At 52.6% G+C, this 17,327-nt stretch overlaps 1 protein-coding gene across 9 annotated transcripts in view, besides 1 other annotated feature; it reads right to left on the reverse strand.

Moving 5' to 3' along the window:
- PI4KA (phosphatidylinositol 4-kinase alpha) overlaps positions 1 to 17,327 on the reverse strand; it is a 151,121-nt gene that overhangs the window by 13,917 nt on the left and 119,877 nt on the right. For 5 of the 9 annotated variants that reach the window (NM_001362863.2, NM_001362862.2, NM_058004.4 and 2 more), the window contains 10 exons: positions 12,788 to 12,946; positions 12,436 to 12,587; positions 12,129 to 12,236; positions 11,364 to 11,491; positions 8,285 to 8,404; positions 8,025 to 8,104; positions 7,706 to 7,899; positions 6,167 to 6,257; positions 5,623 to 5,790; positions 4,881 to 4,934 (listed from right to left, as the gene is read on the reverse strand). In NM_001362863.2, coding sequence (NP_001349792.1) covers positions 4,881 to 4,934; positions 5,623 to 5,790; positions 6,167 to 6,257; positions 7,706 to 7,899; positions 8,025 to 8,104; positions 8,285 to 8,404; positions 11,364 to 11,491; positions 12,129 to 12,236; positions 12,436 to 12,587; positions 12,788 to 12,946 — 1,254 coding nt within the window. Of the gene's footprint in view, positions 1 to 4,880; positions 4,935 to 5,622; positions 5,791 to 6,166; positions 6,258 to 7,705; positions 7,900 to 8,024; positions 8,105 to 8,284; positions 8,405 to 11,363; positions 11,492 to 11,517; positions 11,540 to 12,128; positions 12,237 to 12,435; positions 12,588 to 12,787; positions 12,976 to 14,801; positions 14,985 to 17,327 lie in introns of those variants that run through there. The other 4 variants (XM_005261635.2, XM_011530226.2, XM_011530228.3 and 1 more) reach the window with 4 other exon arrangements.
- Positions 13,340 to 13,841: an enhancer, noted in NCBI's record as "H3K4me1 hESC enhancer chr22:21089235-21089736 (GRCh37/hg19 assembly coordinates)". NCBI's record gives its function as "activates a minimal SCP1, AML or CMV promoter by ChIP-STARR-seq in naive H9 embryonic stem cells {active_cell/tissue: H9 hESC(naive)}" and the evidence as "EXISTENCE:reporter gene assay evidence [ECO:0000049][PMID:30033119]".

A 17,327-nucleotide genomic window follows, 5' to 3' on the forward strand; every position in this document is an offset into this window, starting at 1 on the left:
GGGGGCTGGGACCTGGGGGGCAGGGTTGCAAAGCGGGCGACAGTCAGCCTTTGTCTCCTCTGTGTCTTCCCATGGGTTTAAGAAGCACAACTCTCAAACCAATTTCTGGAGTTGTCAAGTACGAGAAAAAGCAGGCTGGGTACTAAAAACTCACTTGTGAGCTGGTTGTTTAGAACAATGTTCCAAAGTGACAGACAGGTTCCAGAAACATGCAGAGATACCTCCTTCACAAACTGACACACTGATATGATTAGGTTTTGTGTCCCCACCCAAATGTCATCTTGAATTGTAATCCTCAGGTGTTGAGGAAGAGACCTGGTGGGAGGTGACTGGATCATGGGGACGGTTCCCCCTTGTTGATCTCATGACAGCGAATGAGTTCTCAGGAGATCTGATGGTTTTATAAATGTTTGACAGTTCCTCCTACACACACACTTGCTCTCTTTCGCTTGCTGCCAGGTAAGACGGACCTACTTCCCCTTCCACCATGATTCTGTTTCCTGAGGCCTCCCCAGCCACGTGGAACTGTGAGTCAATTAAGCCTCCTTTATAAATTACCCAGTCTCGGGAAGTTTTTTTGTTTGTTTGTTTGTTTTTGAGACAGAGTCTCGGTCTGTCACCCAGGCTGTAGTGCAGTGGTACAATCTCAGCTCACTGCAACCTCCACCTCCCAGGTTCAAGCAATTCTCTTGCCTCAGCCTCCCGAGTAGCTGGGATTACAGGCGCACACCACCACATCTGGCTAATTTTTGTATTTTTAGTAGAGACAGGGTTTCGCCATGTTGTTCAGGCTGGTCTTGAACTCCTCACCTCAGGTGATCCACCCACCTCAACCTCCCAAAGTGCTGGAATTACAGTTATGAGCCACCGCACCTGGCCAGGAAGTTCTTTATAGCAGTGTGAAAATGGACTAATATACACAACTGTGGTCACCATCCTAAGGACCTATCCTCCTCTTCCTTCTTGGTCATTTTCCGCCACTCATAGTAGTAACTCCAGTTTTTCTTTTTAATTAAAAAAATTTTTTTTGTTCCTAGAGCCATAAGTTTTGAAACTCCAGTTTTAATTCCATGCCCTAGGTTTAAAAAGGTGAGCTGGCCTTTCTGGGCAGCCTCCTGGAGTCTGTGGCCACTGATCTGGTGAAGTGTCCCTTGGATGGACATTTTTGACCTGGGTGAGTCGGGGGTGGTCTTACCACACAGGCAGAAGTCTTCACTTTGGGTTTCCCAATTCTAACCCGGCAAATGGATCTAAAGACAAACTATGAATGTTCAATGTGTAGTGTTTTTAAATATAAGTTTGCTTTTTAATTATGTAAACACTGACAGAGTTCCAAAGTCAAAATTATTAAATATGGTACATATCTGTCAGTTCCATCCTGATCTCTCCCTCTTTGGCCATTTTTATTAACTTTTGATTTACTGTTCCTTTTTTTTTTTGAGACAGAGTCTCGCTCTGTCTCCCAGGCTGGAGTGCAATCTCAGCTCACTGCAAGCTCCGCCTCCCGGGTTCACGCCATTCTCCTGCCTCAGCCTCCCGAGTAGCTGGGACTACAGGTGCCCACCAAGCCTGGCTAATCTTTTTTTGTATTTTTAGTAGAGACGGGGTTTCACCGTGTTAGCCAGGATGGTCTCGATCTCCTGACCTCGTGATCCACCCGCCTCGGCTTCCCAAAGTGCTGGGATTACAAGCGTGAGCCACCGCGCCCGGCCTACTGTTCCCTTTTTTTGTAAAAGTATAAACAAATATGTATATACATTTGTATTGCCATAGTGATATAAATTTTTTTAAACTTAAAAAATATTCCAGGCTGGGTGTGGTGGCACACGCCTGTAATCCCAGCATTTTGGGAGGCCGAGGCAGGTGGATCACCTGAGGTCAGGAGTTTGACACCAGCCTGACCAACATGGGGAAACCTCATGTCTATTAAATACAAAAATAGGCTGGGTGTGGTGGCTCACGCCCGTAATCCCAGCACTTTGGGAGGCCAAGGCAGGTGGATCACCTGAGGTTAGGAGTTCGAGACCAGCCTGGCAAACATGGTGAAACCCTGTCTCTATTAAAAATATAAAAATTAGCCAGGCGTGGTGGTACACGCTTGTAATCCTAGCTACTCGGGAGGCTGGGGCAGGAAAATCACTTGAACCTGGGAGGTGGAGGTTGCAGTGAGCCGTGATCGTGCCACTGCACTCCAGCCTGGGCAACAAAGACTCTATCTCAATAAATAAATAAATATTTATTATTTTTTTGAGACGGAGTCTCACTGTATAGCCCAGGCTGGAGAGCAGTGGCATGATCTTGGCTCACTGCAAGCTCTGCCTCCCGGGTTCATGCCATTCTCCTGCCTCAGCCTCCCAAGTAGCTGGGACTACGGGCTCCCGCCATCACACCTGGCTAATTTTTTGCATTTTTAGTAGAGACGGGGTTTCACTCTGTTAGCCAGTATGGTCTCGATCTCCTGACCTCGTGATCCGCCCGCCTCAGCCTCCCAAAGTGCTGGGATTACAGGCGTGAGCCACTGCGCCTAGCCATTAATTAATTAAAATAATTAACCAGGTGTGGTGGCACATGCCTGTAATCACAGCTGCTTGGGAGGCTGAGGCAGGAAAAGTGCTTGAACCTGGGAGGCAGAGGTTGTAGTGAGCTGAGATCACACCATTGCACTCCAGCCTGGGCAACAAGAGCGAAACTCTGTCTAAAAAAAAAAAAAAATTCTGGCTGAGCGCAGTGGCTCATGCCTGTAATCCTAGCACTATGGGATGCCAAGGCAGGTGAATCACCTGAGGTCAGGAGTTTTGAGACCAGCCTGGCCAACATGGTGAAACCCTGTCTCCACTAAAAATACAAAAAATAAGCCGGGCGTGGTGGCATGCACCTTCAATCCCAGCTACTTGGGAGGCTGAGGCAGGAGAACTGCTTGAATCTGGGAGGCAGAGGCTGCAAGGAGCCGAGAATGCCACTGCACTGCAGCCTGGGCAACAGAGCGAGACTCTGTCTAAAACAAAACAAAACGAACAAAAAAAAATTCCCTAAAAATGGAAAGCAAGAAAGAAACCAGTGAAACTAGCTGAGTCCTGAGTTGGTACAACCACACACAGAAGAATCATTTCAGGCGGCCTTTCTCTGGTAGCCACCACCAAGAGTTCACACGGAGGCCCTGGGTACTGGCTCCCCTCCCCACTGCCTCTGGATCTCACCCTTATGCTAGGCCTGTATGCAAGCAGAGAGCCAAGCAGTCAAGGGAAAATAATGTGGGAGGGGAGCCAGGGGGAAGGAAACAGGTTGCTGAAGAGAAGGTGCCTCATGACAATCCTGTAAGTTGCCACCAGTGTGAAGGCTCCGGCTTGGTGAGTGTGGCTCCACACATATCACCACTCAGAGGCGCAGAGAGTGTGGCACTACCTAGTGAGGGCAGTGAATGATTCCACAGGACTCAGTCTTTCAGCAGAGGCTGGCTGCTGTTCTAGAAGCACTTTGGTCTACAGACTCCAAGGCTAGCCCCTGGGACACCCAGCCATGTAACTCAGCCAGCCCACAGGTGGGCCAGAGTGGTGAGGACTCAGCCAGGACACATGGAGTCTGCTGCCCAATTCATCCAGGGAAATGAGGTCAGCCCTGGGGTTGGGGAATAGGGCAGACAAGCTGCACTCAGACACAGGGTGCAGTGGGCAGGCTGGCGCGAGGGCAGAGGCGGCTCGGGCTCCTGGCTGTGGTCATTCCCATGGATATTTTCTGTGCCATGACCTGTGCTGAGCACTTTATGTCCATGGATACTGTTACGGGCTGAACTGTGTCCCTTCAAATTCATATGTTACAGGACCTCAGAATGGTACTGTATTTGGAGATAGGGTCTTTATAGAGATGATTAAGGTAAAATGAGGTCAATAGGGTGGGTCCTAATCTAGTATGACAGGTGTTCTTATAAGGGGAGATTAGGACACAGACACACACAAAAGGATGACCCTGTAAGGACTCAGGGAGAAGATGGCTATCAATAAGCCAGGGAGATGGGCACAGTGGCTCAGGCCTATAATCCCAGCACTTTTGGAGGCGGAGGTGGGCAGATTGCCTGAGCTCAGGAGTTTGAGACCAGCCTGGGACAACATAGCGAAACTCCATCTCTACAAAAAATACAAAAATTAGCTGGGCGTGGTCGCACACGCCTGTCATCCCAGTTACTTGGGAGGGGTAGCGGGGAAGGTGCTGAGGTGGGAGGATAGCTTGAGCCCGAGAGGTTGAGGCTGCAGTGAGCTGAGATCACGCCACTGCACTCTAGCCTGAGTGACAGAGCGAGACCCTGTCTCTTAAAAAAAAAAAAAAAGCCAGGGAGACAGGCCTCAGAAGGAAACAACCCTGTTCGAACAATGACCTTGGACTTCTGGCCTCCAGAATTCATGTTTTTTGTTTGTTTGTTTGTTTTGTTTTTTGGCCTCCACAATTCTGAGAATGAGAATAGACATTTCTGTCGTTTAAGCTGCCCAGTCTGTGGTGCTTCGCTATGCAGCCCTGGCAGACTAATGCATATGTCATCTCGTTAATTTTCCTCACCACTTCCGGCTGAAGAGGGCAGGATTCAGGGATTTGAGGGGACCCCACCGATGAGAGGGAAGCCTGGCCAGGCTGCCTAGCCAGGCTGGCAACAGCCCCAGAACCGGCTCGCTCCACAGAGCATGCTTGGGCCTCAGGGTGAGGCAGTGGGTGAACATGGGTATCAAGGGACAATCACAGGGCCTGGGGTAGGGGGAGCAAGGGGACTGCTGGGCAGCCCTGCCCCTGAGGAGGCTCTGAGGAGCCTGTGAGGGCTGGGGACAGACCGGGCACAAGCTGGTGTGGAACACACTCTGTGAGTGAAGAGGACGGCCATGCAGGTGCAGGCTTACCTTGTCGTACCTGAGGGCCTGCACAATCTGGGGGATGTAGAAGAGGATGGCGTCCTGTGGAGGTGGAGCAGAGTTGGCCATGACTTCTGAGAGCAGAGCCACCCAACCCTACGGCCCAGGCCCTGCCTCTGCTTCTGCTCTGCCCACAGCAGGGCTGAGAACTGGGGAAAGCCCAGAGGATGGCAGGCAAAATGACCGATGGCTCAGAACACAGGAATGGAGGAAACAGGTAAAAGGAGCAAGGCTCCCGCTCTACAGCGGGCGAGGGCCTCGTGCTCCTCACTAGGGAGCCTGCCTCAGGGAATGGTCTGCTGTGGGTCAGACTCTAGAATATTCCAGAGACCCTTCTCCACCATCATCATGGCTATCTCGTGGGCTCCCTGGGCTCCCACAAGGAGTGAGGGACCCTCCACGGGTGAGGTCACTGTGGGGTTCCAAGGCACAGCTAGCTGCACTGCTGTGTGGGGTGTGCACAGCTGCCGCGCCGCCTCGTAATCAAACTCAAGTTAACTTTATGTCTTTAACTCAAACGCCTCACTAGATTAAAAAACAAATGTAACTAGAGAACACATTTGAATTAGAACTAAATCCATCTTCTACAACTACTTGAGCAAAAAACAGGGAAAGGACCAGTATGTAACGGGGCGACCTCATGGCCAATGGTGGGGCCTGTGCCTCTCACCAGGTAAGACCCCTCCCAACAGTCCTACCAGAGGCCAGCTCAGCAGGGCCCTGGGCTCACCGGAGGGAAGGACCGCAGGACTTTCACCCCGTACTGCGCCGTGAGAGGGTGCGGCGGGTACATGCTGGAGAAGTAGGAGAGGCCTGTGGGTGGGTCCGTGGGCGCCCAGCACAGCACATGGCTGAGCTCTGGAGCATCGGCGTCGATGGTGTGCCAGGTGACCAGGAACTGCAGAGAAGGTGGGGAGATGCTGTGGCTTGGGCAGTCCCGGGACCTCTGGAAATACCTGGTCCACGGGCCACACAAGGACGGCCATGAGAAGTGATGTTTCTAAGCATCGGTAACCATGGGGAAGATGCTTCTGATGTGTTATGGAAAACAACGTAACTGCAATTAGGGTGAAGTGCATTACATTTTTTTCTACTGTGAACAAAATAAATGCTACAGACAAGAAATAGAAAACACAGGAAATCAGAAAAACCATGAATAGCACTGAAGTTGCCAAGCGGCTGTTTTTGTCTCATTTCTAGTTTCAGGCATTTCTGGGTGCAGTGTGCTATTTTGTGCAGTTTGAACTCAGGCCCTGGTACGTGGGCTACACTACCTTGATTGCTTCAGGCACATCACTAACGGCTCCCGGGTCCAACCGAACGAGACGGGTCACTTCGTTCCCAATGGCTTCTGTGTTCTTAAACCTACAGTGCACAGAGGGTATGGGTGGTGCTGCCTCGCCAGGGAACCTGCACTCTCCCACCACACTGGAGTGAGGGGAGCCAGGGGGAAACACTGAACTGGAGGGATTCACATCAATACCAAGTGACGGCTTGGGTACAAACAAATAGAAAGAATGAAGACCTGCTATTTGATAGCACAACAGGGGGACTACAGCCAATAATAACTTAATTGTATATTGAAAAATAACTTTAAAAGAGTGTAACTGGATTGTTTGTAACTCCAAGGACAAATGCTTGAGGGGATGGATACCCCATTCTCCAAGATGTGCTTATTTCACGTTGCATGCCTGTATCAAAACATCTCATGCACCTCATAAATACAGACATCTACTACATATGCACAGAAATTTAAAAAAAAAGTTTAAATAAAAAAATGTTTAGCCAGGTGACGGCTAAATGTTCTATTATGCCACTAACTAGTAGGTCTGAACATTAGTGTTTTTTAAAAAGAGGATTATAATCTGCTGTGATGAAATGCTGGAACTTTCTTAAAGAAACAGGAATTTTTCTACACTTAACTGTTTAAAGGGCTTCCTTTCACCATCCTTGTCTTAAAACCCCTGCCTCTTACTCCTTTTCCTACCATATCCTCTCCTGACTCTCCACAGCTGCTCATCCAGTGAGTCAGTGTCTCAGTCAACAGTCCAGGGGCCACAAGGCACCTGGTCCATGAAGGGGCAGCTACTGGTTTCCAGGTGTTCCCACCTCAGGCTAATGCAAGGCGGATGTCCCATGAGCACTGTGCTTTGAGACAATGCAGAGCTGCGCTGCGATCCTATTCCAGAGGATCAAAGTAGGGCTGGAGAGAGGATGCAGTACATTGGCAAGTCTGGGCTCACAATGGAGAATCACCCACCCTGGACACATTCACAGGAGGCTGTGGACCATCTGGTGGGATTCTAAACAGGGACTCTGCAGTCCCTCTCAGCCACCATCGGTCTGAAGTTCTGTCCCCATAAGAGCTGCCACAGAGAGATCACAGGAATGTCACTGCTGTCTGCAGCATGTGCCTCCTCCAAATACTCTGCCACTGAAAGGTGACATCCAGGAACAAACCCAAACCCTCCCCAAGGCGGTTCCGGCAGCCACCTGCCAGGAGTGACAGCCTCCACATGCTTCCTATCCGGCAGGAATCAGATCTTGGCTCTGAATTCACCCTGCTGCTACCTCCCTAGGCTCCAGCTGCTGCAGCACCCCAGGCAGGCATCTGAAAAGATCACGAGGGTTGCTGGGTTATCTCTGCACAGAAGGGCTCGGGGAGTGTCCTGGGGCTCGAGGACTAGACTACTTCCTGACTATCCTTGAAAGGGGCTGCAGGGCACTCCTGAGAACTCATGACCCAGCTGGCAAGCACCCTGCGCTGGACCTCTGGTGAGGCCTGTGTCAGGCTGTGGTGCCCGGGGGCCCACCTGGCAGGCAGCTGCACGGCTAGGTAGGGAGAGATGCTCCAGGCGAGGTTCACGTTGTCCTTCCACTGCTTCTCACTCAGGCTGATGTACTTAGATCTCCAGTTGGCCACGCTGTTCTCTCCGGCCTGGTCTAGTTCCAGTTCCGGGGCTGACAGCGGGTTGTACCATGTGATGAGACGCTCGATCTCAGTGGCCTGGCAAGATAAGACATAAGGCCTGATATGCACCCCTTCTGTGAGTGCCCACACACTGCCCCGGCCACCAGGTGTCGTACAGGCAGGTGGCGGGCAGCAGGCACAGCTGCACCTGTGGGCCTTACCAGCAGGGACAGCAGCAGCGTCCTGCGCTTCATGTAGTATTTGTGCAGCTGGGAGCCCCGGTTGGTTTTCTTAGACATGCCTAGGAGGAAAGACAAAGCACAGGTGTAGTCCTCAGATGCTACCTGTCTGCCCTGAGATTCTAAACCTAGAGGAAGCTTGCAGTGCTCTGTTCTGCTGTCTGAGCAAGTGTCCATCAAGCAGCTTGCAACTAGAATGATAGCTTGCATGTGATGGCCCCAGCAGCACACCTCCCACCGACCTGATTTCTTGGAGATGGTGGACATGCCGCTGGACAGGGGGTATGTGTTGATCCAGCCTTGGGTGGCTTGTTGCCGAGAGCCGACAGTTATGTCCAGGTTGCTCCGGGTGTCCTGATTATCTGAGGGCAAACACATTGTTGATTCTAGAGTGAGGTGGCTCAAGAAAAGGTACCACAAAAAATAAACTACTATTCACCAGAGATAAAGCAATTAGTGGCAGAGCAGGCATTTTCTGGAGTCCTGGAATCGACTGCAGGAACAAATCTGTCTGGATGGTGGGTTTTCCAAAAGCATGAGAAGTTCTTTATTTTAACTATTCTAGATGGAATGTTTAAACATTTTTATTATATTTCTTTTAACCTTTTCAAAATTTATTTATTTATTTACTTATTTATTTTTGAGATGGAGTTTCGCTCCTGTTGCCCAGGGTGGAGTGCAATGACGTGATCTCAGCTCACTGCAACCTCCGCCTCCTGGGTTCAAGTGATCCTCCTGCCTCAGCCTCCCAAGTAGCTGGGATTACAGGTGCCTGACACCATGCCCAGTTAATTTTTGTATTTTTAGTAGAGACAAGGTTTCACCACGTTGGCCAGGCTGGTCTCAAACTCCTGACCTCAGGTGATCCACCCACCTCGGCCTCCCAAAGTGCTAGGATTACAGGAGTGAGCCACTGTGCCCAGCCTATGTTTTATTTTTGAGAAGGAGTCTCGCTGTGTTGCCCAGACTGGAGTGCAATGGCGCGATCTCAGCTCACTGCAACCTCTGCCTCCCGGGTTTAAGCAATTCTCCTGTCTCAGCCTCCCGAATAGCTGGACTACAGACGCCCACCACCATGCCTGGCTAATTTTTGTATTTTTAGTAGAGATGGGGTTTCACCATATTAGCCAGGCTGGTCTCGAACTCCTTACCTCAAATGATCCACCTGCCTTGGCCTCCCAAAGTGCTGGGATTACAGGCGTGAGTCACTACACCTGGACTTCTTCTAGCCTTTAAAATAGAATAGGCTGAGCACAGTGGCTCATGCCTGTAATCCCAGCACTTTGGGAGGCTGAGGCAGGTGGATTGCTAGACGCCAGGAGATCGAGGCCAGCCTGGACAACAAGGCAAGACGCCCTATCTCTACAACAACAATAAAAATTAGCCAGGGGACCTGGCATGTGTCTGTAGTCTTAGCTGCTTGTGAGGCTGGGGTGGGAGAATTGCTTGCACCCAGGAGTTTGAGGCTGCAGTGAGCTATGATTACACTATTGCACTCTAGCCTGCGCGACAGAATGAGACTGCATTTCTAAAAAAAAGTAGAAAATAAAATAGAATAAAACAAATATCATAATTTTCTTGATAAAAGATGGCAGTTATCTGATCACCGGCAACGTATAGTCCTTTAGTACGGTGACAACTTGAGGGCCTGTGGGGGCAGACTGTAAGGACTGTTTGCCCTCTTCTAAGTGGAGCCAGAAAGCTGCCTTAGAAAGTCACTGCATCTGCTTTTTTCTTTCCTTTTCCTGCTAGTTAGGTTGTCAGCCGTGGGTCTGCTAAAGAAAACCATCTCAGCCAGGCAATGTGGCCCACACCTGTAATCCCAGCACTTTAGGAGGCTGAGGCGGGCGGATCAGAAGGTCTCAGCCAGGCAATGTGGCCCACACCTGTAATCCCAGCACTTCAGGAGGCTGAGGCGGGCGGATCAGAAGGTCAGGAGTTTGAGACCAGCCTGGCCAATATGGTGAAGCCCTGTCTCTACTAAAAAATAAAAAAATTGGCCGGGCACGGTGGCTCACGCCTGTAATCCTAGCACTTTGGGAGGCCGAGGTGGGCAGATCACGAGGTCAGGAAATCGAGACCATCCTGGCTAACACGGTGAAACCCCATCTCTACTAAAAATACAAAAAATTAGCCAGGTGTGGTAGCGAGCGCCTGTAGTCCCAGCTACTTGGGAGGCTGAAGCAGGAGAATGGTGTGAACCCGGGAGGCGGAGCTTGCAGTGAGCGGAGACTGCACCACTGCATTCCAGCCTGGGCGACAGAGTGAGACTCCGTCTCAAAAAATAAAAATAAAAAAAAAAGTCTGGGCGCGGAGATCGAGACCATCCTGGCTAACACGGTGAAACCCCGTCTCTACTAAAAAAATACAAAAAATTAGGCAGGCGTGGTGGCAGGCGCCTGTAGTCCCAGCTACTCAGGAGGCTGAGGCAGGAGAATGGCACATACCCGGGAGGCAGAGCTTGCAGTGAGCCGAGATTGTGCCACTGCACTCCAGCCTGGGCGACAGATCAATACTCTGTCTCAAAAAAATAAAATTAAATTAAATTAAAAAATAAAAATAAATAAATAAAATTAAAAAATTAGCCAGGCATGGTGGTGAGCACCTGTAGTTCCAGCTACTCAGGAGGCTGAGGCAGGAGAATCGCCTGAACCCAGGAGGCAGAGGTTGCAGTGAGCCAAGATTGCGCTACTGCACTCTAGCCTGGGAGAACAGGGCATGGCCTCCTTACAGAGGTTTGCTGCTTCTTTGCGTGGCATGTTTTCATTCGGCATACCCTTCCCTGGAATGCTTTGCCCTGTCCACCCTGCATGCCGGTGCAGCCATTCAGACTCAGCTCAACTGTCTCTCTTCCAGAAAACCATCTCTGATTCCTCAACTCTGGATGGGCCAAGTGCCTGTCCCCGAGGAGTGCTCCCATAGTTCCCTCATATTGAAATCACCTGTCCATTTGACTGCCTCCTACAAGACAACAACAGACCATACCCCAGTCATGTGGGTGTGCACCAGCCTCAGCCCAATCCTGGGCCGTCAGCTGCTCAGAGGGGTGTGTGAACGCAGCTGGTGCCAGTGCAGGGAAAGTGCGGTGAGTGGAGTCTGCTCAGCTGCCTCGGGTGCGTGTTTATGCTTCTCAGCTCAGGCCAGAGGAGAAGCAGAGCCAGGCATGCACCGGCCTCCAATGACCGTGCAACACAGCCAAGGCCAGGGCTCAGGGGGGTCTAACTGCTTTTCCGTCCCTACCTCTGGCACCCTCGGGGCAGCCCACGTGGCACCCCTGTCCTGCCTGCCTCCACCATGAGCAGCTGCACTGTTGAGGGTTACCTGGGGGAACAAGCTGGCTGGCGGTCAGGTACTTCTTATCTGAGAACATGGCGGTCCAAAATTTAATCATGATGCTTATGTCTTCACGCAGCCGCTTCTCTCCTTGAGTAGGGAACTTTGGGGGACAGCTTCAAACAACCATAAGAGGACAAGGGCTGAGTGTCTGGAGTCAGGGACTAGAGGCCAGTCACACAAAGCAGTGAGAAGGTGATGCAGACAGTTTCTTAATGACAAAAGGTCAGCCCAAAGCCAGTCATTAGCAAGGATGATCTGGCCCATTCCCATGGGAAGGTGTGGTGGCTCGGGAGCCCTCTTATGCCCTCCTCCCTCACTGCCCACAGCAGCCCCTACAGCTTTCCACTGAAGCTGCACTTGTGGCAGATCAGGGCAAGGAAGCTGCACTCACACAACAGCACAGCCTATGGGTGCAGAGCCCCAGGCAGTGGGTGTTTGCAATTCTTCGTGCAATAAGCCTTCACATTAACAGGGAAATTAAATGGACGCACTTAATCTCCTAAATCAGTTGAACTGAGGGAAAATTTGCCTACATCTCGCTGGGAGGCTAGCTCTAAGTACACGGGACACATGCACAGGGCTGAAGGGTATTTAAATCCACAGGGCCAGGGATACTGAAGGAGGAGGTTGGTGAGCACAACTGGGCAACTGTGTATTCCTGTGAGTGACTTCCTGGGGGTTTGGGGCGATGGAGCACTTGGAGGGGCTGCGCCGTCCCTGGACGCTGCACAGCACATCTTGGGGGAGTACCTGAAGTAGTCAAAGGCAGTGGAGTAGATCTTCTCGCGAAGCACATTGCGGATGGTTGCATTTGGAACCACATCGGCATGCAGGAGGGACAGCCCCAGGGTCAGCAGCCTGTGAGGGAGCCCCGGACCCAGTTAGAGCAGGAGCCTGGCCTGGGGCCAAGTTCACCTTATGGACTCTCTTCCCTGCCCTTCCAGGAGCAGCTCACTGAAATGTGTTCCCCGTCTACAGAAGTACCGTGATACACAGACGCCCCATGACACACTGTACACACCAGGGGCCCTGTGCTCCCCAGGAAGAGGGCCCTCACTTGAAGCGGGGCCCGATGGCCGCCACGTGCCGGTTCATGCTCCCCTTGGCCCCGCCGATGTTCAGGGACATGGAGCGCTGCAGCAGGCTGGAGAAGATCTCCACTTGGTCAGAGCTGCAGTACTTGGCGATCTCAAACCGCTGCACCAGGAACTGAGCGAAAAGAGGAAGACGCTGTGGTGGTGGGGCTGAGCCGGGCTAACCCTGGGGCCGGCAGAGACAGCTGAGGAGGGGTTCTGGGCTGACTGGCCGAGCTTGCCGAAGGCCTTGGGCTCGGCTACCCCCACCCCAGGAACAGTCCTGGCCCCCCAGGTGGAGCACCCCACAGCCTTCGTGGGGGAACAGGCACGTACGTCGATCCAGATGTAGTGGGGGGTCACTTCGGGGGGACAGGGTTTGGGTTGACTTGCTTCCGAGGCAGCCAGGGGGTCTGCTTCCTTTATCTCAGCAGAAAACAGGCCAAATTTCTGCTCCACCGTCATGTGCCAGGCCCCTGCCATCTCCCGCATGAACTACAGGTACAGAAGGAATGTTAGCTCCTCTGTGAAACACAAAAAGGGGCTACTGTCAAGTTTTCTCTAATTAAAAAAAGGAACACGTGCTCACTGAATAAGATTTAGAAACCAAGAAAAGTATGAAGAAAAAAATGAAGATCGCCTATAGTCCCACATCCCAGGGTCATCTGTGTCAGTGCTTGGTGTATTTTCTCCAGCCTCTCGAGGCTGCCTTCTGTTCAACCCGGTTCACCGTGTGGACATTGCAGGTGTGAGGTGGCAGCACCCGGGATGTACCTGATGCCCTGACAGGCACTGGGTAGGTGACTCTTCTCTATAACCCTGATAACCCTCTGTGGCTGTGAGCGGGAAGACCCCTCTGTGGGATGCTGAGCTGGCAAGGGCAGAAGAGGGTTCTGGATCCAGAGCCTGGCTCCTCCTCTCCACCCCACACAGACCCTACCTGATGCCTTCATCCCGCTAACCAGATTAGGAAAGGCCCATGGAGCCGAGGCGAGCCTGCAGCCACCATGGCCAGGCCTGGGAGCCCAGGGTCAGGCTGCTCCCATGGCCCAGTCATGCTCAGCCAGGTCCCCATTCCGTGGGGGGGCATGAGGGGTGCCCAGAGGGAGCAGCATGGTGCCCGGGAGACACCTGGGTGCTGCAGAGAGTAAGAGGTGCAGCTCACACATGGAAAGCCCCCATGATTTCTGGGTGTTTTTACAAGGAGACCAACAAACAGCATTTGGCATCTGGCCAAAGAGGATTCTATCCCTCTGTTGTCCCAGCAGCACCAGCTTCTACAAGGGCTCCAAGCGCCTGTGCAGAGGTGGCAACGAGGCCTAGTGAGTAGAACACACACCGCGGCTCCCTCCCCAGTACCATCCCCTCCCTTCTTCCTCATGAGGTGGATCAGGGTGGCCACGTGGCCAGTCACAGGGCTCTCAGCCAGGGTCCCTGCTGGCTGAGGCGGCCACTGTTCTCCCCGGCCACTCTAATGAGCCAGGGAGAGTGAACTGGGCAAGGCCCTGGGAACACATGCCAGGGTGAGCTTCATAAGGTCAAGGCAGCTGGCCTCTGCCTTTTGCACTCTGTCCTTGTCTTCCTTCCTGCTGGGAGGCACAGAAGCCATCTGGAGGCTGTGAGGGTGGAGACAAAGGCCACATAAGCCCAGGATGGCCAGGAGCCGACGGGAGCCCGGGGCGGGGCTCTGTCTGCTGCTTCCCTCTAAGCTGCCCATGGGGTGAGGACTCCTGGGGGACGAGGCACTAGAGCCTGCTTTCTGTTTCCTGCAGACCGATTAGTCTTATGGAAGCAGACAAGGGAGAAAAAAATGGGGGGGACCCCAGAACTGCCATGGACAAGAAGCCATGGAAGAGACACACTCCCACCTATTTGTTACACAACCACATCCTGGTGGCTGCCTCTGTGCCAGGGCCTCGTGGACTCTGGGCATGGTGCTCTGAATGAAGACAAACATGACCACACAGTCTATGGTGGGGACCACAGACAACAAGAAATAAGCTACACACACTGAGAAACACTAAGAAACAGCAGTGCGAGTGAGCGTGTGACAGACCAGGTGGCCAGGGAGAGCCCTGGCAAGGAGGGGATATCTGAGATGAGCCCTGGAGGAGACGCAGGAGTGAGGCGCAAGGCACGGCCATCTGAGAAGAGGGAATGCATGACGCGGCCTATGGTGGGAGCAGCCCAGGAGGGCAGCTTCAAAAGTGAAACTGATGGGATGTGCTGAGAATCATCCGTGGGAAGTGCAAGCAGGACCCCAGCATGGCCACAGCACAGCAAGCAAGGGGAAGAGAGAGGATGGAAGTCAGGTGGGAAGGGGGCTTGCAGGTCACAGAAACAAGCCCACCTTCGAGTCTGTAGGGGGGCTCTGATTCCCCCCTGGCTTGCGCCAACCGCATGTGGAGAAGGGGAAGATGCCTGGGGTTGGGGAGCAGGAGGCCAGGCCAGAGGGCAGCAGCTGGGATGCTGGGACTTGTCAGATCCTGGATAAACCTCAAAGGTGAAGGTGATGGGATGTGCTGAGAGTCATCTGTGGGATGTGCATAAGAGGGAGTCAAAGACGTCTGAGCAGACAGAAGGACCTCGCTGGCATCTACAGTGAAGGGAAGGGCCATGCTGGCATCTACAGTGAAGGGAGGGACCTTGCTGGCATCTACAGTAAAGGGAGGGACCTCGCTGGCATCTACAGTGAATGGAGGGACCTCGCTGGCATCTACAGTGAATGGAGGGACCTCGCTGGCATCTACAGTGAAGGGAAGGGTCACACTGGCATCTACAGTAAAGGGAGGGACCTCACTGGCATCTACAGTGATGAGAGGGACCTCGCTGACATCTACAGTAAAGGGAGGGGCCACACTGGCAGCTACAGTAAAGGGAGGGGCCACACTGGCATCTACAGTGAAGGGAAGAACCACCCTGGCATCAACAGTGATGGCGGATGGGCGACCAGTGTAGCGGTGTCTGGAGCTGTGGTTGGACCCATTAGTTGGGGCTGCTAATCAGTTCACCATGCAGGCTGTGGGCCAAGCCACTGAAGGGATGCACCTGGACTAGGAGTGACTGGGCTGGGTAAGCAGTGGAGCTGGCCAGAGTACCCAGGCAGGGAGGAGGAGCCCTGGGGCATGCCAGTACTGAGAAGGCCCTGAGCTCAAGAAGGTCCCTTTATTCTGGAGGATGAAAGGGCTACAAAAATTACAAAGGCCTTAAGTCCCTGGGAAAAGCAGTTAGGCTCCCAGAACAGCTGCTTTCAAGACCCAGAACTCTGAAGGAGGCTGTGAGCAGCTTTCCCTAGGCTGATCTGTCCTCCTACCATCTGGGGCCTGCTAGTGATATCTGTACTCCAACTGCCCTGCCCCCAGGGGTCAACCAACCCACTCCTATCTGAGGACCCACTCCTATCTGAGGACCAGACAGGGAGGCCAGAAGTTCAAGGGCACCTGGACTAAGGAAGTGGAGAGGAGAGAGGTGGATCTGGGCTCCAGAGCCCCAGGTACAATGTGAGGGCTGACACGTGGTCAGGAGCACCCCCAGTGCCCTATGAAATGGGAACGGCTACAGCCCCTACTCTTTTTCTTTTTTTTTTTTTTGAGACGGAGTTTCGCTCTTGTTGCCCAGGCTGGAGTGCAATGGTGCGATCTTGGCTCACCGCAACCTCCGCCTCCTGGGTTCAAGCGATTCTCCTGCCTCAGCCTCCTAAGTAGCTGGGATTACAGGCACATGCCACCACACCTGGCTAATTTTGTATATTTAGTAGAGACAGGGTTTCTCCATATTGGTCAGGCTGGTCTCGATCTCCCGACCTCAGGTGATCCACCCGCCTCGGCCTCCCAAAGTGCTGGGATTACAGGCGTGAGCCACTGCGCCTGGCTGAGCAGCCCCTACTCTTAAGGCCCACCGAGGTCTGAGGCTGAAGCAGCATATGGAAAGGAATCCTGACCATAGCAGCACTGTGTCCTGACAGTCACAATTTGTGGTGAAACCAGGGCTTCCAGAAGACCCTGAGAGGAGGGCACACTTGTCCTCTTCTGGGAAGTGGAGAGTCCCACCAAGAGATAGTGTGTAGGCAGGTGTGTGTAGGCAGGTGTGTGCAGGCAGGTGGGCACCTGGGCCCACACAGGAGTGAGCGTGGCTAAGACTTCCCAGGATCGGGTCCCTCCTGAGCCCACAGGAGGACAGCCTCAGGGTGTGGGGGAAACTGCAACCATCAGCCTAGACCCCAAGGCCTGGGTTCAATGGACAGGAGAGTAATATACATATAATGCCCTGCTTAAGTTGGGCACACAGCAGGACCAGAGCAAGTTATCAGTTACTAGTGCAGCCCACATGCATTTATTTTGGGTCATGAATTTTAAGTATCATACAAGGATCATGAATCTTTCCCCTCTCAGTGAAATGAAGGTCCCAGACCCCTGTAAGGAGGTCAGGCTCCCCACTGTTCCCACGCTGAGATGCGAACAGCAAGTGTGACATCTCTTCATCTCCTGGGCACTATGGGACCTGGACAGGTCAGGTCCTTGTGGAGGCAGAGACAGGGAGTGAGGACCTGAATGACCACGTGCTGCTGGGGCCAGTGCCAGGTGTGAGTGTGAGTGGGTGGAGAAGCCTGACACAGGCCAAGGGACCTGAGGCCAGCTGAGCCACTGGAGATGGTAGGAGCAGGAAGTGCAAGCTGGACTCCAAAAGACCCCAAATGAAACAGTAATTTGGTTTGTATAAAAATCCCTTTAAGACACCTTTCCCAATTTTGCTTAAAATAAAAAAAAAAGGAAGTGGGGTAAAAAGCAGGAAGAACCCATACTTCCTGCCAAGACCAGCTATTGAGTAGGAGGAGGAGCCACCAGACATAAGAAAGACATCTCGGACAGGCGCGGTG

The sequence above is a fragment of the Homo sapiens genome, chromosome 22, assembly GCF_000001405.40.
Source record: "Homo sapiens chromosome 22, GRCh38.p14 Primary Assembly".
In the NCBI taxonomy this organism is placed as follows: Eukaryota; Metazoa; Chordata; class Mammalia; order Primates; family Hominidae; genus Homo; species Homo sapiens.